The sequence below is a fragment of the Homo sapiens genome, chromosome 11, assembly GCF_000001405.40.
Source record: "Homo sapiens chromosome 11, GRCh38.p14 Primary Assembly".
In the NCBI taxonomy this organism is placed as follows: domain Eukaryota; kingdom Metazoa; phylum Chordata; class Mammalia; order Primates; family Hominidae; genus Homo; species Homo sapiens.
In genome coordinates, this window is record NC_000011.10 from 56863398 (window position 1) to 56885255 (window position 21858).

Genomic DNA, 21858 nt, shown 5'->3' on the forward strand with positions numbered 1-21858 from the left:
CTCCTGCCATATTTTTCAGAGCAAAAGTTTCTAAGTCAAAATGATGAAATCAACAATCAGTCAATTATAATCCTACATGAAATATAAAATCTTCCAAGATCAAAATAATTCAGAACAGCTGCCACTTTTTTTTCATTTAACTGTTTCCTCCACTTGAGACCCTATTTACTTATTCATTGAACAAATAATTATAAAATGCCTACAGTACTACAGCTGGGGATATAATTGTGAATATAATATATACGGCCATTTTATCAGGGAACCTATATACCTCAGTCACTGGAGTACTATGAGAGTTCTATCCAGGAAGTTTTTCTGAATTTATAAACTTGACTTCTTTTTCCTGGCATCTCACTTTTCACACTTGCTGCAGACAAGCTTCTTGGCTTCCTGGTCTAAGTGGTGGAAAGTAACCACTGCCAACAGCTCTCAGATTCACATCTCCTCCCTTCATGATGATAACTACTTCCAAAAGAAATTCACTGGCTTGACATGGGTTGAGTAGGTCTCCTGGGGCAGCCCGTGGCCTGGAGGAAAGAGTTCCATTATAAGAACATGATGCTCCAATGGAACCATGTCCTTAGAAAGAGGTTAGGGCAATTCCATTGGAAAGAGATGAATAGACAATTTGATACATTCCAACTGCACTTCTCTGAGGACTACCCGTGCACCTCACAGCATGAATCCTATGCCATTCATTTGGGCTGCTCAGAGTTTTCTTCTTGTCTGAATTTTGGCTCTGTTCAGGTAATTGAGTTATTTTTTCATTCTTTCATTATTCATTCATAAAACATTTATTAGACATTGACCTGGTCCACATCTTCGGGATAAGAAAAAGAAAAAAAGAAGCACCATGTTGTTTCTCTTGGAGCTCACAGATTACTGAAGGAGGCAAATGTATAGACACGTAATGATTATTTACTGTGACAGAGACATGCACTAAGTACTAAGGAAACCCAGGGGAAATTTAATGAATTTCACAGATTTCCCTAAATGAGTCTTAATGAATACAAGGGAGTTTTCTAGATTGGCTAGAGTGAGGGGGCTCCCAAAGTATGTTATGATAACGAAGTTAAGGAATGTGTAGCAGAAGGAAGTTTCATGGCTGAGAGGTGAAGTAGTGACTATAAATGGAATAATACAAAAAAAAGTCTTCCCAGCCATATCATTGGCAAGCTGTGCAAACTTGGGCAAGTTACTAAAACTTTCTATATTTACCTCATAAAATTGTGGTGAGAATTAACTTTCTAGTGGAGGTGAAGTTAATTTTTAAAGTAGTGCTGGAATGTCTTGAATTCTTAATAAATTTTTAGGTATTAATGTTTTATTATTATATTTAATAATGTTTTATTATTGTTATCATGATCATTATCATCATTATTTCAAACAAATATGTGACTCCAAGATATGCTTCTAAAATTTTTACTTGTGAGAGGAGAGTTTATTTTGTTTATCATCATATCACGGAGATTGTGATTTGGACTTGGCCCAGGGTACAAAGTAGTGTAATAGGAAAATAAATCTTGGGACCCCAAAATCACTAAGCCAGAGGGAAAAGTCAAGCTGGAAACTGCATAGGGCAAACTTCCCTCCCATATTATTCCTAAATAACATAGCTACAAAGATAAGAAGCTACATTCATTTCTCACAATTTTCCCAGAAGGAAATTTCTTGTGGACAAAGAACAGACAGAACTCAAAGTCATCCCTCTGAGCTCACCTGAGACAAATATAGATCTGATTGCTTCCTCTGCCCTACTGTTTATGTAAAAATGCAGATTCACTGATCCAGACTAAATTGTGTATTCAGAAGAGGGCTGATCAAGGACTCCAAAGAATGCAACCTTTTATCTCTTATCTACTTCTAATGTGGAAGCCCCCACTTCGAGTTGTCCCACCTTACCAGACCAAACCAATGTATATCTTACACATATTGATTCATGTCTCATGTCTCCCTAAAATGCATAAAAGCAAGCTGTACCCTGACCACCTTGGGCACATGACCTCAGGACCTCCTGAGGATGTCACAGGTGCATCCCTAACTTTGGAAAAATATACTTGCTAAATTGACTGAGACCTGTCTCAGATATTTGGGTCTCACATTTTGGTAACCATGAAGGGATTCTGAGTGCAGATACCCCTGACCTTTGGTAAATTTCCTGTTAGTGCTTGGTACCAACTTGAGCTATCTTTGTGGCTCAAACTGTAACCACCCAATGGATTCACGCTGCCCACTCCCTAGACAGAGCTGATTTATCAAGACAGGGGAGTTGTAATAGAAAGAGTCATTCACGCAGATCAGAGTTTTATTGTTACTCAAATCAGTCTCCCTGAGCATTTTGGGATCAGAGTTTGTAAGCACAACTTGGTGGATGGGGGAAAGCCAGTGAGCCAGGAGTGCTGATTGGTTAGGTAGGAGATGAATCATAGGGAATTGAAGCTGTCCCCTTGCACTGAGTCAGTTCCTGGGTGGGGACCACAAGATCAGATGAGCTACTTAATCAATCTGGGTGACACCAGCTGATCCATCAAGTGCAGTGCCCAAGACGATGGGAAGCCACCTCTTACATCAGCATGACCTAGATGTGAGACATGGAGTCAAAGGAGACCATTTGGAGCTTTAAGATTTGACTGCCATGCTGGATTTCAGACTTGCATGGGGCCTGTAACACCTTTGTTTTGGCCAATTTCTCCCCGTTGGAACAGCTGTATTTGCCCAATACCTGTACCCCATTGTATCTAGGAAGTAACTAGCTTACTTTTGAGTTTACAGTCTTATAGGCAGAAGGGACTTGCCTTGTCTCAGATGAGATTTTGGACTTTGGACGTTTGAGCTAATGCTGAATGAATTAAGGCTTTGGGGGACTTTTGGAAAGGCATGATTGGTTTTGAAAAATGAAGACATGAGATTTGGGAGGGGCCAGGGACAGAATGATGTGATTTGGCTCTGTGTCCCCACCCAAATCTCATCTTGTAGCTCCCATAATTCCCACATGTTGTGTGAGGGACCCAGTAGGAGATGGTTGAATCATGGGGGTAGGTGCCACTCACCTATTTTGAGGTGTTCTGTTTTCTTTGTGGGGTTTCAAGAGTCATAGAAAGATATTTCTTAGGTCTAAAGCTCTGCTCTTCTCTACTGTATTACCTGACCTCTTTGGCTTTAGGGGAACCAGGGATGACCTTGTACTGTGAGATGATTTGACCTTGGCTTGTGTAATGTCATATGGGAGCTACAAATTTAGGGGTGGATAAGGATACTTTACAGAAAGTGGTCTTGGTTGTTTTGTTGTTTATTTTCTTTCCTAGGAAGTTGTTTATGGATCCAACTCTTAATTTGGAAGTGCATTCTAAAGGGTCTTTTCCATTGCTTTTTCTCCCAAAATTAATCTTGATTTGGCTTGCCTGTGTGCATTTTTGTGAGGAACTGAACTGTTATTTACACAGGTAAATGAGAGACTGAGTTTCCTCAGCTCAGAAGAGAAAGGGCATTTTGCTCCTCCCAACCGAAAGGCACTCTTTGGGTGACTGTGGACCTTGTTGGAGTGTAGGGGGTCCTGACCCCCTGTGACATACAGAGGCCCTACAGGGAACCCCCAACAAAATTAGTTTAAAGAAAGACTCATACAGGAAGCACACAAGGGAGCTGGTCACTCGGCACTTGAGCCCTCCTGGAGGTGCTAGACCTTTAGAGAGAGAAACTGAGACACATAAGAGGGTGACAAGGACTCAGTGGTGACACACTGTGGAGTCCCGCCTGCAAGCAGCCCACTTTCACCCACTCTACAAAACCCTAGTCCACAGCTCAGTTCCTCCTTTTAAGAAAAAAAGAAGTGGGAAACAAATAATCTATGAATGAGGAGAAAATGACCCCCTTTCAGGTACTCCATCGGTTTTATGGCACCTCTACTTGCTAGATAGTGTTTGTGTAAAATGGAAATGTTATGGTCTATTGCATCAAGGAAAAAGACCCCCAAGCTCTCTAGAATTCCTAAGTTCTCTTTTCATCTATTTTCTTTTCTGCCTGCTTTAAATCTGCTGTTACTTTTCTACTGAGATAAAAACCACTATTTGAATCCAAGCTTTTTTTTGGAAGCCAGTGAATTTTATCTATCTCATGGCTAGAGTTCTAAAGTAAAAGCTATAGAATCTTTTTTGTGTGTGTATGTGTGTGTGTGCAAATATATATATATATATATATATTTAAAAGACTTTTATAATTTTATGTTTTATGTTTAACTGGCAATTAAATTGATTTTCATTTCCCTTTAGCACACCAGCTTTTTTCTCTATATAGTTTGAGATGTAAATTTTACTATCTGATTTTCACCTAAGAGTGGTTTCCTTTAACCTGAAAATTCAGAGCTGTTCAGCTGACAACTGCCTAGGGTAATGAAAAAGGTTATCAATAATTTGCAAGTTTAAGATAAGAAAAAGAAGAGGTCTTATGAATCTGTAAGATGCGCTTCTATTGGCGTGCCTAATACGTTTATGTATTTATGTGTTGTGTACACAATGTTTCACTACTGAAAATATATAAAATACCTCTAATTGGCTTAAAGAAAAATAAAAGCACTTAAATCAAATACTCTCTTTAAAAAAAAGTCAAATGCTTTTCCAATATCACATGACTTAAGTAAGCTTTTAATAAATAAGCTGGCTTTAAAATTATTGGTAAAATAACATTAGAACTGTCTTAAGAACTGTTAGCATTTTTATTTGCATTTATTGGTCAAGCAGTTTTTTGCTTATTCCTGCAGAATACTATGAGATTGACCTTAAAGTTTACAAAACTATAAAACACAGCCCAAGACAGAATGATCTTTGCTTGTGTAATTTTTGATAAATAAGACATGAAATATTGTTGGTTTAATGAAAACATCTAAATCCTGAATTATCGTTTAAAAATATACCTTTATATTTAACCTTAAAGTTCTTGAGTAACACTTGAAATTCACAGCTATAAAAATGGTTAACAGGGAAATAACTTTAAATAATGACTATCACAGTTAATCTAGGTAAACTATTAAATATATTAATTAGGTAAATGTAACAGATTAAATGCTTGTAAACAAACTTGTCATGTAATTTAGGATCTAAAGTTATTAATAGATATTAAGTGTTTGAGAAATTTTCAAATTTAAAAATTATTTTTAAAACTTTAAAAAGATGTTCTTATTAAAACGTAAATGTCTTGTTCTAATTCAGAGCTTATTTAAAGGTTATATATAAAACAAAGTAAAAGGAACCAGGAAATAAGAGAGATATAGAGAAAGTTATAGAAATGAAGAGGTATTTTTGGTAAGAATGCTTAAACAAAAATAATTTTATATGAGACAGAATCTTGTACAGTAAATCTTATCCTAGAATAAAATGACTGGTTGTTTCAGAAACAGAGACATTTAGGACAAACTAGAAAGTTCAAGCATGCCATGAATGCTCTGTGTAAATCATAATAAGAGGACTTATTTAAAAAATCTTTTATATGACCAAGTTTTCTATAATTAAAGGGAAGTTACAATCATTTTTCTGAAGATTTGGTTTTGATTAAAATAATTATACACTAAATAACTGGTTTGAACTACAAAATTTTCTTAAGATATTGCTTTACATGCTTAATAAATTATAAGACACTATAATTTTTTCTGCAAAATTCAACTTTTATTGCATCTTGCTGTTTTCAGCTTTCTCTCCCCCTTTAAAAGTCCTGAAATAATAACTTTATCCTTCAACTCATTTTCAGTTCCTGTAAGTTTTTTTCCCCCCTTTGAGTTCTAACTGTTGTGGTTTGATGCTTTAAAAAAAAAAGTTATATCTTAAAGGTCTAAAGGAAATGTTTCCTTCCAATATAATATTCCTCATAGGGAAGAGCAATCACACTACAGAAGGTCTTTTCTTTTGCCTTTGGGTAACTGGCCTAATAAACAGATCTTATGCTTTATTGAAATAATTCCTATGTCATTATTCCTAAGTTTGGTTTGCTTATGAAAAACTGCGATTAAAAAAAATTTAATTCAGGTTATTGCATACATATAACTTTCTGTATGTGCCTTTAAGTCTTTGTGCCATTAAGTTACAGGGCTTTGACGCCTGGTTCTAAAAAGGACACCAAGTCTTGCTAAATCTTAACACTGATGGCAGTTAAACCCTCATCTTCAGACCCAGTAAAAGATGCAAATCAAAGTAAATTGTGTTCATAAGACACCAGGCCAGAAATTAAAGCTATTCCACTTCTCATGGCCTGGGAACTATCACAGAAGAGATGGGCATGTAAAATTGTAAGGGCCAATTTTGAGAGATAAAATAAGTTCAGTTTCTCTATAAATAAACCATTAATATCAAAGCACACTGCCTCATGCTGTTTCTATTGGGGCTTATTGTTTGAAATATTAAATCTCCTTTCTTAAAGAATAAAGGTTTTACACCTTTTTTTTGAAATCCTTGAGTTATCACTTTGGTTAAATGAATAACTTATTTTACAATGACCAGTGATGCTATTTTGTGATATCAAGCATTTTAAATCTTTGGTATTTGACAAACTTTCCAAAATCAAATTATAAATTATAATGTCTTTTTCTGATCTAATTAATCCTTTAAGATATTATATTCCCTAAAGTCCAAAAATGACATATTTGGCTTATTTAGTATAAAAATCATACAGGAAGCATTGTCAAATATGAAATGATGTTTGGCTTCCTTTGGACTGTATTTGTTTAAATATGTTATTAGTATGTGTTTCAAAATTATGGGAAACTCCTCTAATTCTGATATGATTTAGGGCACTTTATCAGTAATAATTATAATTGTTATGTTAAAATACTGTGTGCCAGAGAGATAACAAATTTCCTTGTCAATTGTGTCTTTGACTATGGCACCTTTAAAACATTTTGTCATCCACAGACTATTGTTGTTTTGGTCTTCTTTAGAGGGTAGTTTTATAACCAGCTATAAAACTCTAACAGGTGTTCTTGAATGCAGAGTTCTGATACCTTTGAGCTTGTGACATAAGAATAGATGGAAAAACTCAGTACTCTCATGGAGAGATGGAATGTTCATGAATATCATGCAGAACAGGAGTTTACTGCACGGACTGAACTAATAGAAGACTGAAATAATCTGTTTTGACTTTTTTGCTTAAGACATTGCTGATCCTTTGTTTTGTTTTTCAGAGTCAAGAAAACTTTTTGGGCAGGGCATGGTGACTCACACCTGTAATCTCAGCACTTTGGGAGGCTGAGATGGGTGGATCATCTGAGGTCAGAAGTTTGAGATAAGCCTGGCCAACATGGTGAAACCCCATCTCTACCAGAAAATACAAAAATTAGCCAGGCATGGTGGTGCGTGCCTATAGTTTCAGCTACTGGGGAGGCTAAAGTGGAAGAATCACTTGAATTCAGAAGGCAGAGTTTGCAGTGAGCCAAGATTGCACCACTGAACTCAAACCTAGGGGGCAGAGTGAAACTTTGTCTCACAAAAAAAAAAAAAGAAAAGAAAAAGAAAAAGAAAAGAAAACTTTTTGAGCTATTTACAGCTTGTAGGAATTGAGGTAAAGTATACTCCTGTGAACAAAATTTGGAGCATATTTATTTCTTTCTGCCTGATTTTTCCAGAATTTGGAAACTATTTATGAGTATTCTTAACTTATGGCAGTATATTTATTGGCATAAGTGCAATATGCCTGTTTTCTTTTGCAACAGGACACCATTGCAGAAACTGGTTATTTTACCAAGGCTTTGACTGGAATAGTGTGCTTCCCTTTAAGGAATCAAACTTGACTTTTGGAGCTAATAAAAGCCCCTTGGGAAAACTGCTCTCTTACCTTGTCTACACAGTCTCTGGACAGAGTTCCTGACCTGTGGTAAGTAAAGAATGCCACTTTCTGACAGGCTCAGGAGCCCCAAGTTATCTTGGGACCTCAAGAGGAGAGGAATCTACCCAACTCATAGTTATTTGATGGTACAAAGCCGTGGCTGGGTTTGGCTTTAAAGAAGTCTTACCTGAGATTCCTTCTATGGAACAAAGTTCCATGAAAGCCAATTAAAAAGGCCTATATGAAAAAAATAATTACTCTTGCTGCACTTTATACAGATAATCAGTCCACATATAATAAAGCAAATTGGTCCTACCATGATTTGTCTTTAGCAAAAATGGGAAACTTGAGAGAGAAAAATTATGTTTTAGAAAGTATATCATACCTATTACTAGATTCTAGTCTTGCCTAATGGTTTTCCATTTTTACTATTTTCCACAGTTTGGACTGAATCCTAATATTTCCTGGCTACAAGTCTCCAAAATAATGTTTTCATTTTTTTTCCTTCTTTCTGTTCCTCTCACTCCCCACCCCCATTTTTCCTAATTTAGAATCACTGAAAACTAAGTTGTGATTTCTTAAACTCCTGCAAACTGAAGCTAGATAACTTAAACTTCAGAAGAAAATAACAACCTATTTACATACACTTTCATACCTGCCTACTGATGTACGGACTTCAGAGTAATATGACCTATTACAGTTTTCCAGGATTGTTTCTTTTTTGTTTGTTGTTGTTGTTCTCCCTTCTTCTCTTATGTTCTCTTCATAGAACGTGAGACTTCACAACCTGCTAAAAATGAGCTTTCCTTATACAGTGGGACCTACTCATCTGGGGATAAACCATCCTAGCCATGAGAGATTAGACAAAACCTGAGACCAGAGACTCATTTTCTTCTCAAATGCTTTCTCCAAAAGATTTTAAAAAGAAAAGCGTGGGGGGAAATGTGAAAGAAAAATAAATCTTCGATGCCCCAAATCACTAAGTCAAAGGGAAAAGTCAAGCTGGAAACTGCTTAGGGCAAAAACCTGTCCCCCATTTTATTCCTAAATAAGATAGTTACAAAGATAAGAAGCTATGTTCCTCCCACACAATTTGCCCACAGGGAAATCCCTTGTGGACAAAGGACAGACAGAAATCAAAAGTCATCATTCTGACACTCACCTGAGGCAAATTCATAACTGATTGTTTCCTCTGCCCTACTGTTTATGTAAAAATGCAGATTTGCCTAACTAGACTAAATTGTGTATATAGTGGAAGGCTGATCAAGGACTCAAAAGAATGCAACTTTCTATCTCTTATCTACTTCTAACCTGGAAAACCCTACTTTGAGTTGCCCTGCCTTATTGAACCAAATGAATGTACATCTTACACATATTGATTGATGTCTCATGTCTACCTGAAATGTATAAAAGCAAGCTGTACCCCGACCACCTTGGACACATGTCTTCAGGGCCTCCTGAGGGCTGTGTCATGGGTGCGTTCTTAACTTTGGCAAAATAAACTTCCTAAACTGACTGAGACCTGTCTCAGATATTCAGGTTTCATGGTATTAAGTTCAGAGAACACATGCACTAGGTTGCTGACAAGGTCATGGTGGATCTCACAGGATTAGCAGAGGAAATTCCATTGCAGTGTAACCTCCCTCCTCATGAAATGCAATCCCACACAGCAGCAGGCCCAGGTGAGAACACATACTGCTTTTGCATAGCCGCATACCCTGATCTCAAGTTGCCAATACCACTTTGTTTGGTAAAAGACTGTTACTGGGTGCACCATTCAGCCCATTCCCCTAGTGGAGACTGTAAACCAAAATCCAACCATTTTCTTTCAAATCCAACCATTTCTATTTGAACCATTGGGGGGAATGTTCCAAAGAACAAATTAATTTTGTAAAACACACCATGCTCCCCAAGGAGCTAGATTTCAACTTTAGAATGATTTCCTATAGATATTCTTGGGAGTTTGGCTCAAGTGATGATATCAGTGCCCTTTTAGGTTTTGGTGCAAATTACAGAATTCTTCTTACCCCTTCTTCTCCTTTCTCTATCTCTTCAACCAATTACCAAAAATGAGGACAGTAGCATTTTGAACCAGAGTATTTGATTCTGAATCTTTTCTGATTCTATTCATTTTCCCCATGATTTAACCACAGACACCAACCTTTTTGGGCCAGCTTCTTCTTGCTATATATAATGCTATATAATAATATTCTTCCTGCTAAAATCTTCCAGTCACTGTACAGGTGGTTGAAAATGGAAATAGGAAAGTCACAGTCTCTGCCCTTAAGTGTGTATGTGTGGCAGGAGTGAGGGCAGGGTGTCAGTGAGAGACAGGACTATCTGGATTTCCTAGGCTAGGAATTCCTAAGCCTAGCTGGGGAAGGTGACTGCACCCACCTTTAAACATGGGGCTTGTATCTCAGCTCACATCCAACAAATCAGGTAGTAAAGAGATCTCACTAAAATACCAATTAGGCTAAAAAGCAGGAGGTAAAGAAATAGTCAATCATCTATTGCCTGAGAGCACAGGGGGAGGAACAATGATCAGGATATAAACCCAGGTATTAGAGCCGGCAGTGGCCACCCCCTTTGGGTCCCCTCCCATTGTATGGGAGCTCTGTTTTCACTCTATTAAATCTTGCAGCTGCACACTCTTCTGGTCCGTGTTTGTCTGGCTCGAGCTGAGATTTTGCTCACCATCCACCACTGCCGATCATCGCCGTCACAGACCCCCCACTGACTTCCACCCCTCCAGATCCGGCAGGGCATCCACTGCACTTCTGATCCAGCGAGGCACCCATTGCTGCTCCCAATAGGGCTAGAGGCTCGCCATGTTCCTGCATGGCTAAGTGCCCAGGTTCGTCCTAATCAAGCTGAACACTAGTCACTGGGTTCCACGGTTCTCTTCCATGACCCATGGCTTCTAATAGAGCTATAACACTCACCGCATGGCCCAAAGTTCCATTCCTTGGAATCCATGAAGCCAAGAACCCCAGGTCAGAGAACAAAAGGCTTGCCGCCATCTTGGGAGCTCTAAGAACATAGACCCGCCAGTAACACTGGGAAGGGGGTAGCCTGTGTGGTAGCAAAGCTAGACAATTAAAGAGACACATACGGTGTAGTAGAAACCAGCTAAGGCTAGCATAAAATAGACACACCACAAGAATATCTTCCATTGATACACTGAACCATATGAAACTAACGATATGTGAGCAGTTTGACATGCAAAAAATGGCAATGCAATACAGGTTCTGATAGGATTAAGCATTAGGTATTATAGAAATATAGTGGAATAGTTATATGGACCCAGGAACTGCCTTTTTAAAATTCAACTTTAGGGCTCTTTCCTGGTTAGAAAAGCAATAAATCAGGGAAGAATCTTGAAGGATGAATTTGGCTGGACAATTCTCCATTTCCACTGCCACTCTTCTTACCCAATCTACCATCATCTCTTGCCTGGGCTAGTACAAGCTTTTCCTAACTCGTCACTTACATTCTTCTCCATCTACTTTCTACACAGTATCCAGAATGAGTGATCCTTGAAAATCTCAAATTGGATCATGTCCTTCAGCTACTTAAAACCTGTCAATGATGACCAGTTGTACTTCAAGTAAAATCCAAATCCTCTCAAGGTACCAAGGTACAAACATGATCCTGTATTCGCTACCTCTCTTACCCTTTGCACACTACTGCTCTCTCTGTCTCATTCAAAAGCTCCAGGTTTGCAGGCCTTCATTTTCAACTTCTCCAGTAAGCATTTTTATATCTGTGGCTCAAGCCTCAGAGGAAGGTTTCTTCATTTAGAGAATAATGAGAAAGTCATATAAATCTCAACTCCGTGTTAAAACCTTATTAAATACAACTTTTATTATTTATGCTGCACAAATAAAAAGCAAAGAAACATGGTCCTTTTGTTAATCATATGGTAAGAGACCATTTTCCTTCAGGCATTTTGAATTATTGAAGATACCTCCCCTCTCTCCCCCATGTATTCTTCTCTTTCTTCCTTTGCTTTTGGTTGTGTTGTTTTGTGTGTCCATAATTGATGTAACAAAGAGCATTTAATGAGCCCTGGTCTGGTGATCTTTTCCTGCCCCACACCACTGCCTGACATTTGTTCTAATTTGGACTTCTGCTTCTGACCTTTGCAAAGCTCTCTAGGTAATAAGCTCCCAAGATAATAAGCTCCCCAGATAATATGTTCTCTAGATAATAAGTTCTATAACATCAGAGCTCACAATACATCTCCCATGGCTACCACAATTTCATGTACAACAATAAGTATTTATGGAAAACAAGTTGTGGATTCAGCTCCAACCATATATGTGTGGCCTATTAAGGTATATGAAATAAGGACCCGTCACCTAATATTTCTTATCTAATATGTTGGCAGGGGAGAAGGAAGAAACAATACAAGAATTGGCCCCAGGAAATATTTATTCTAAATCCGGCACATGCAAAACCCCGAGATAGCCATCAAGGACAAAAATCGTCACTGGGAGGTGGGAAGCCCTGAAGGAAAAGCACTAGTCTTGGTGTCAGAAGACCTATGCTTGTGTTTTCACGCTGACAGGACATGTGTATCTCAACAAGTATCTTCATCTTCTGAACCTATTTCCTCATCTATAAAAGGTCACTAACACCCATTTTGAAAAACCACATGTAGGTTAGGAGGATTCAATGTATGTGAAAGAGTTCTTCAAACTCCTAAGCACTTGCTGTGCTGATGGTAAAGGTGATAATGAGGAGGAAGGAGTGTCTGCTATGGGAAAACCACTGTCCTAAAACTTTTAAATACATTGTTAATTAATCTGCACCAATAAGTCTACGAATTAGATTCTATCATAATCTCAATTTTACAGATGAGGTTCAGAGAGATGACAAATTTTCCCCAATATCACACAGTCATTTTAATGGTGGAACAGAAATTTTAACCCAAATCTATCTGGCTCCATAGTTAACACTCTTAACTACCATATTATATGGCCCCAATCTAACTCCCTTATCTTTGGGAAATACTTTTATTTATAGGTCAATGACACAGAGTTACAGATCCTGGGTACAGCCTGGGTCTGTAACTTACTCAATGTATAATGCTGGGTAAGTCTTAACCTCTCTGTGCCTCATCTGTTAAATGAAAGAGTTGAACTCTAGGATCTCTCAAGTTCATTCCCTTTGAGTTCATCTAACATTATACGGTCTTCGTTCTTGTTGGTACAATAGTTTATTAGGTAATTGTTTATTAGATAATTAACAGTCCATGTCACCTTGGCTATCTGCCAAATGAATAGAAGCACACTACAGATATTAGAGAGGGAGGGTTGAAGGGAAAAGATTTCCAAGGGCTTTGGCAGGTGGAGAAGGCTTTTTGGAGAGGATAGGCCTGAACCGTTTCACCATTAAAAGCACTTTTATTATTTTTCTCCATAGTCACTATATTTACAAAGATTTTATGTTTACTTAACATTGTGTCATGGTCTGGCAAAAGAGAGCATCTGCAGCCCCTCCAGGAAAGAAGAGAAATCCTGTAATCCCTAGAGAGAGTCAGGCAGGAGGACAAAATTAGTGGCTGCATGCTTACTGCAGACCAGCACGGTATGAGAACAGTATTTTGTCATCAGCTGTGAGTCAGCTAAAAGTTGAAGCCAAATGTTCAAGCATTGTTAGGAGTTGAGTCTTTTCTTTGATGAAGCATATGGGAGCCTCATTCATCCACACTTTCCTTGCCTCCACATCCTTGCCATTATGGGAATGGCATATAAGCCAGTGATGCTCAACCAGAAGTGACTTTGTCCCTTATGAACTATAGGCGATATCCGAAGACAGACTAAATGCCATGACTTGGCTGGGGAGGAAGTGGGAGCTTGTTCCTGATATCTAGTGGATAGAGGCCAACAATACTTAGGGCAGGCTCCCCACCCTCCATCCCCAGCAACAGAGAAGTATCTGGTCCAAAATTTCAATAGTGCTGAGGCTGAAAAACTCTGATACAAGGGAACAGCAGTTACAACAAAGAAAAAGAAAGCCAACTCACCAAGAGCAGCTGTAAATAGAAACATCTTATTTTTACTTTCTCCTCTCCTCCCCAGCATTAAAAGGAATAGAAAGGAAAGCACTTGGAATCCCCAGGACAGCTTGTGGAAGGTTTTGGGGTAGTGTGGGTGGAGCTTTAAACTGAATATGAGATTGATTTTTAAAATAACTTCTTATTTTGAAACAGTTTAAGACTCACAAGAGTTGCAAAAATTATAGTATAAAGTCCCCATATACTCTTTAGCTAACTTCTTCCAATAATAATGTTATATAACCATAGTAAATGGCCAAAACCAGAAAAGTGACTGTGATGCAATAATACTGTTAACTCAGGTGCAGATATTATTTGGATTTCACCAGGATATACGTGCACTCTTTTTGTCTATTTGTTTTGGTATATAGTTCTGTGACATTTTATCACATGGCTAGACTCAAGTACCCATCACCATAATCAAGATACAGAACTGCTCCAAATCCACAAAGAAACTCTCTCATGTGTTACCCCTTAATAGGCGCACGCTTCCTTCAACCCCAGTCTCTAATAAACACTGATCTGTTCTTTATTACTGTAATTTAGTCATTCCAATAATTGTATATAAATATAATTTTACAGTATATTGCCCTTTGAGGTTTTGTTTACTGTTTTATTTTTCATTCAGCATAATGCACTTGAGTCATCTAAGTTGTTGTATGTATCAATAGTTTATTCCTTATTACTGATGAATAGGAGCCCATTGTATGGATGTACCAAAGTTTATTTAACAATTTACTTGTTGAAGGATATCTGGATTATTTCCATTTCTTGGCTGTTATAAATAAAGCTGCTATGAGCTTTTGTGTTCATCTTTTTGTGTGAACATAAGTTTTCATTTCTTTAGGAGAAATGCCCAGGAATGTGATTGCTGGATCATTCATATGGTAAGTGCATATTTACCTTTATAAAAAAAAAACACCAAACTGTCTTATAATGAGACTGTACCATTTTACATTCCCATTAACAATTCATGAGAGATCCATTTATAAGGCTGTTTTAAAATAGAAGCACTATGTGAAAATAACCCAAATGAGATTGTTTCAATAACTAAAATGACTTCACAGCTAAGATATCTGAGTACAATAATATTAAAGGAATCCACTGCTAACCTGGAAAGTGAGGTTTCAAAGTACACAGAAGGTAGCAGTTATTAAGGAAAATAACAATTATTGTACATCAAGCAGATTCTCCTCAGTCAAACATATTATATCATTAAATACCATTTTCTTTGAAAGGTAAATTTCTGTTTTCAGTTTTTATTTCTAAAGAATATAAGTCACTGTTATTTGGAGCTTCCAATTACCATGTGATAACACATAGCATTATCCTGAGATAAACTAATTCCAGCCAAGTGCAAAGAACCAGACTTCCTACTGAGACTAGTTGACCTAATATGAAAAATTAGTATTTTTAATAAACCTGGAAGCAACTGGATCTGTCAGTTAATGATATGGCTATAATATCCAGTAAAGGACTTAACCTTCCCAGTCTGTCATAAATTATAGCAAACAACAGTTCTTATCTCATACACTTTTTTAAATTTGATAAGGTATGCAAAACATTTAACACAATATCTGAGACATAGTGAATACTTAGCTCAATCTATGAGTTGGAATGAAAATACCTACCTGTCTATTATGAAGAAGAATAAAATAACAAATGTGAAGCATGTAACCAGCAGTAGAAACACGATAAATGTGAGCTGAATATGTTGCCACCTTGAGTTTTTACTCCAGGAGGTGCACACAGTACCAAATTAAAAGGGAGTGCTGGAAAGGGGCCAATTTAAAATTTACCTGGTTCTTTCCTCAATGCCTTTGAATTATTTGACCGTAAAGATTTCAGATGGGCTAATCATCATGCTTTCCAAGTTTTTTCATTGTAATTGTATTTAATTATTGTGATGAAAATGACACTGTTCCCCATAAATACTCAAGACCCACTCACAGTTTCTTATATTTATATTCATATATCTAGGATCTCTCAAGTTCATTCCCTTTGGGTTCATCTAACATTATATGGTCTTCGTTCTTGTCGGTATAATAGTTTATTAGGTAATTGTTTATTAGGTAATTAACAGTCCAAGTCACCTTGGCTATCTGCCAAATGAATAGAAGCACACTACAGATACTAGAAGGGGTTGAAGGGAAGAGATTTCCAAGGGCTTTGGCAGGTGGAGAAGCCTTTTTGGAGATGATAGCCCTGAACCATTTCACCATTAAAAGCACTTCCATTATTTTTCTCCATAGTCACTATATTTACAAAGATTTTATTTTTACTTAACACTGTGGCATGGCCTGGCAAAAGAGAGCATCTGTAGCATTATATATATATAAAATATGTGATAGTTATATTCTTTAAAAATTATTATATGTTTCTTGAGTCATATTGATTTGTATACTATTGGAAATGTTGTTCAGGAGATACAACATTTCTGCTGAATGTGTTCATTCAACATTTAACATTTCTCTTCCTGAATGTGTAGAAGTATTGCGTAGGAGTGTTGTTTCCTACATAACAAACATGTAAGCTCTCTTTGTTTATTTCTTTAAGTTCTGTTCTGGTTCAAGCAATTTATGCAGTATTAACAGAAATAAATCCACAAGCATCTCATGAGCATCTATTAGAAGCTCAGCACCAACCCAAACTCTGGGAAGGAATATAGTCATCAGTCAATGAATCTCCTAGTAGGATAGTACATTCTGGAAAGTAACCTCAGAGTAGATGGCAATATATATTTATGGCAATATAAATCAAGAAACTTAGAAAGATGCACTCCTTTGGTGTTGCAGTTATTAAGCCTTTAATGAAACTTTTAATGGCAGCATAAATGCTGAAAGGTAATTTGATAAGAAGTGTCAATAACTTTAGCATAAATTCTGAAAGGTAATTTGATAAAAGGTGTCAATAACTTTAAAAACAGTCAAACCCTTTAACGCAGCATTGCCTACTCAAGGCATTTATCCTACAGAAATAACACAAATAAATACTATCAAAAAGGGTTTCATTAAGCATTATTAATAGTGGAAACAATTGGAGATTCACGTAACCAATAATAATGGTATTTCTAAATAGAGGATGGTACATACTTAATTTGGAAAATTATGTAGCCATTTAAATTGTGTTTTTTTAAAGAATATTTTACATAGAGAAAAATTAAGAAAAAGATGTTAAGTGGATAAAAGCAGGATACAAAACAGCAATACTATTAAATGTGTGCAGTTTTATTTCAAACATATGAATAAATGTGTGTATATTTGTAAATATATATGTGTGTGTGTGTGTCTGTGTGTGTGTGTGTGTGTGTGTGCGCGTCTAATGATCTCCCTAAAAGGGACAAGGCCATCAGTATGTGATAGAATTACAGGTCATTTAAAAAAATTCTTTATATGTCCTATAGAGTCAGAAAAATATAGAAAGATGATTAATAGGTTTCTATCCTCAAAAAGAGTTAACATCCCAGCAGAAAAGATATAATTTACACATGGCATAATAAAAAAATATACAACCGAATATGAGAACTAGACTTCTGCTGTCTCATCCTCTGTTCCTCCTTTGGGAAATTACCTCTCCCTCAACGTGATTGTGTCTCTAGTAAGGCAACCTCATCAGGTAGACTTGCAATTTCTTGGGCTCAGTCACAAGTGGGGTCTACAATCCAGGCCAGCTCACCTGGTATCGCTCTTTGTCGGGCCACAGAATGAGTGAGAGTCCACCTGGGTCCCATTTTTACACTTTAGAAAAGAGAAGATCTTTGTATGAATTTGAAGCCCAAACTTCTAGCATTGACAAGGAAGTAATGTACCTGAGAATGAAGCTAACCTGGAGAAGAACTGAGTTGAACATTGAGAAAGAGAGACATTAGGACAATATCCTGAAAAAAAGTAATTTTTGCCCAGTAGAACCAGCCATGCTTGAAGACATATGTAACCCTGAACTTTTCTGTTTTGTGAGCCAATAAATACCTTTTTTTATTTTCATTTTTTCAGACAGTAAATTCCATTTTCTCTTAAATCCATTTGATCTATGTTACTGTCTTTCAACTCACATGGTCATTATTGATATAAACACATCTTTCAAAGACATAGCATGAGTTATTGAATCAGGGGAGAAACAGGTCACTTCCAGCCTGATGACTGGGAAAGGCTACTCAGAGAAGGGGCAATCCGAGCTGGACCTTGGAACAAAAGAGAGAGTAAGCATAAGGACCAAAGAAACCTGGAATTTATAGAGGTATAAATGTAAGGTATTTGGTAAGATGCTTTTACTGAAGGAGAGACTTTGTGTTGGGAAGCAGGAAGTGATGGGCTGGGGACAACACTGTAATTATCAGGCTAGTGGTTTTAGAAATTATCCTATAAGCAATGAAATATCCATTAAAGAATTTTAGTAAGTGTGTGACCTGTTGAAAATCATCCTTCCAGAAAAATAATTAGTGTGAGAGTTATACCTAATGAAAGTATAAAATTGGCACCCTCTTCATCCTTTTCCTCCTGTAATCTCTTCCCAGGGAAATTCACTAGCTAATCTCCTGGTCTTCAGTTTTCCATACTGATTTATCCTCCATACATTGTCTGGTGGACTTTTTAAAAATATGTCTAATTGTGGCACTTAAAAAGTCAGGATGTTTCTTAATGTCCATGCTGCAACATGGATAAATCTCAAAATGATTATGTTGAGGGAAAGAAACCAGACCAAAAAGGAAAAATGCATAGTATATGATTCCATTTATATAACATTCTAGAAAAAAAAATGACAGAAAGCAGAGCAGTGGTTGCCTAGCAATGGGGAGAAGGTGAGGAGGAGGGGTGAGAGTGTGATAACAGGGGGATGAGAGGACTTTAGGAGGCAATGAGATAATCACTGTCTTGTGTGCTAATGGCTTCACGGGTATATACACATGTCAAATTTTGCACCTTACATACATGCAGTTTAGCATTTGTGGAATTGTTACACAGTTATACCTCAATATAAATAATACCTCAATAAAGCTAGTTTAAAAATAAAGTGACAATGACGATGTGGTCCAGTCTCAAAGCAGAAAGCAAAACAGTACAACTAAAGACCAGTTTTTAAAGTAGTTCAGGCTATTTTCATGTATTTTCTGAACTCGACAGCATCAACTCTCTAAAGCGCCCTTATTCTTTCTTGATCCAGCTTCTTCCAAATTCCTTCGCTGTTCCCACATCCGTTTATTCTAAATTCCTTGAAAATTTTACCTTCTACCATCAGCCATAAGGGAATAGATTCTCTATTTTTTCTAAATCATATTAAATCCAGTTCCAGACTCCAAATGTTGGCAAGAAGTTCTCAAATCAAGTATTTTTGGTATTAACCACTGCCCTTTTATTGTTTAAGGATCTCAGGGTACCAGAAGAAAAGAAATAATAGAAGATGCCTCATCTTCATTCTGTGGTCATCCTTATCACTGTTGATCGTTCTGCTACACAAGGCTATTTTTTTACCAGTTAGCATTCAGTAGTTCTTTCATTGTGCCAGGCATTAAGCTAAATGCATTTTCTTACTACTCATAACAACCCCATAAGAAAAGACACATGGTACCCCCTTTTCCCACTCACTTGCCGTCTTAGTTCGGGCTAGTCACTTACCTTCTCTGATCACCAGTTGTCTCTTGTAAAGCGAGATGTAAAACTAGGTGGCTCTTCAAACTCTGACATTGGTTTTTTTCTTTATTTACTATACATACCAATGCCAAATAAGGTGCCGTAAGAAAAAAGAAAGGTGGATTGCACACTGAAATTGGGCTCGTTTTCATAGACTGAACCTACATGGACATTTACTGGCCTAAAGTAACTTTATCTCTTTCTTTTCTTTTCTTTTCTTTTTTTTTTTTTTTTTTTTTTTTTTTTTTTGAGATGGAGTCTTGCTCTGTCACCAGGCTGGAGTGCAGTGGCACGATCTCAGCTCACTGCAACCTCCGCCTCCCGGGTTCAAGCAATTCTCCTGCCTTAGCCTCCTGAGTAGCTGGGACTACGGGTGCATGCCACCACGCCCAGCTAATTTTTGTATTTTCAGTAGAGAAGGGGTTTCACCATGCTGGCCAGGATGGTCTATCTCCTGACCTCGTGATTGGCCTGCCCAGGCCTGCCAAAGTGCCGGGATTATAGGCGCAAGCCGCCGCGCCCAGCCAGTAACTTTATTTCTTTTTCAGCGTACTCAGAACAGATTAAGACTACAAGAAATCCCTGAATACACAGACACATTTAAAGTTCTTGGAGACCATCTGGTCCCTGGAAGAATTCAAGACTTGATTTCTGAGCACATAGAAGAAGTCTGAGGCTAGGCAGGTTTTTTCTGGGATCTGGCAGGGACCCAGCCAGGACATGGTGTAACACGGGCAGTGGTATTCCAAGGACAGGGTGATGGGAGCAGTCTACGCTGGTAGAAAAGATGATTTTATCACTGGCTTTAACAAAATTATTTTTAAGTGGCAATCTTCAACCATATGTGCTGCTACTTCCAGCAGTCTCTTCCAGGACTGCTGATTCAGCATGGCAAACTTCCCCAAAGCATCCAAGGCCACAGTGCCAAGTGGCAAGCATCCCTGTGCCCCCAAAGATACCATACAACACAATATATACCCAGCTTCAATATGGCAAGACTGGGCTCTGCTTCACGGGAAGCTCAAAGCCTCATCACAGGAAACTCATACATTGCTACTGACAGTATAAGATTATACAACCCCTATGGAGGGCCATAGAACAAAACTGCCTACATTTTCACCTTTTGACTCAGCAATTTCACATTAGAAACTTACCCTGAAGATACATGTCCTAGATATCCATGCAATGAATATCATGGATATTAATTATCAGTAAAAAATAATACACTCTACGGTGCTTAGGGGTGAGGTGTCACAATGTCAGTAACGAACTCTCAAATGAATCAGAAAAAAAAATGGATGGATAGTTGAACTGAATGAATATAGATGGATGGATAGAGAGCAAAGGATGAATGGACAGAAATGAATAATGACAGAGATAAATGATTGATTGACTGATAGCACATGCAACGTGAAATAAATAAAGCAAACATGGTAAAATTCTGAAAACTCATGAATCCAGATGATAGAAAGATAAGTATTCACTTCCCTATTCTTGCACTTTAGGTTTGAAATTTTAAAAAATAAAATGCTGAGGAAAATTAAACCAAATTACTTTGTTCTTAAAAGACTGAGGGACCATGGGCCAAGGACCTCATGAAACTATAGGATAAACTTACGGCATTTCCCAAAATTGAAGTGAGGCTAAACTGGATATTACTGAGCAGGAAGCAAAATAGCCATGAAGTTTTAAAATAAAACTGCATCAACCAGTCACTTGAAGCCACTTGAAGCTTGAACCCTAGAGCTTACATTTATTTTCCTTAAATATTAGAGAGTATTTAGGGAAAAATTTGAAGAAGCCATCTTCATTTCCACACCTTTTAAGCTATCTAACTCCTTGCATGAGATTTCCTCTCTTTGAACCTGATTTCTCCTTTGAGAGAAATGGCATTAACACTTATCACACACTACTATTGTGAGAATTAAGTAAAATTAAGAGGTATGTAAACATGAGGGATGCATGGCAAATGCATCACGAGTGTCTCTTCTCTTCAATTTCTTTCTACCAATAGTGTACCTAAGAGACCAGCTAAAGGTCATTGGCAAACCTAAAACGATGTCCCATTCCCCGAGATATTCATTCGTGCATTATTCATTTACTTAGCAAATATTTAGCAAGGACCTAATTTTATGCCAGACTCTACAGTGATGAACAAAACAGGCAAAAATCCCTGCCCTCCTGGATGTTGGAATTTAATCCCCTGCTCTTTCCTCCACCACTCCCTGTCTCTTACTTGACTAGTTGAGCACCGTTTTGGGTGTTCCTGAGAACAGGCCTCTGTTTCTCCTCTTCCCCCATGAGATAAGGCAGCAGCTGAGACCACAGAAGTAAATGATTGCTTTGAGTTTGTGTGAAAAC

At 37.5% G+C, this 21858-nt stretch overlaps 1 long non-coding RNA gene across 2 annotated transcripts in view; it reads left to right on the top strand.

Moving 5' to 3' along the window:
• LINC02735 (long intergenic non-protein coding RNA 2735) overlaps nt 1-14681 on the top strand; it is a 29601-nt gene extending 14920 nt beyond the window's left edge. Inside the window, exons 2-4 of one of the 2 annotated variants that reach the window (NR_110136.1) lie at nt 7694-7854; nt 11327-11446; nt 12200-14681. This is a non-coding gene — a long non-coding RNA (long intergenic non-protein coding RNA 2735). The remainder of the gene's footprint in view (nt 1-7693; nt 7855-11326; nt 11447-12199) is intronic. The other variant, NR_110137.1, reaches the window with a different exon arrangement.
• The last annotated feature ends 7177 nt before the right edge of the window (nt 14682-21858 follow it).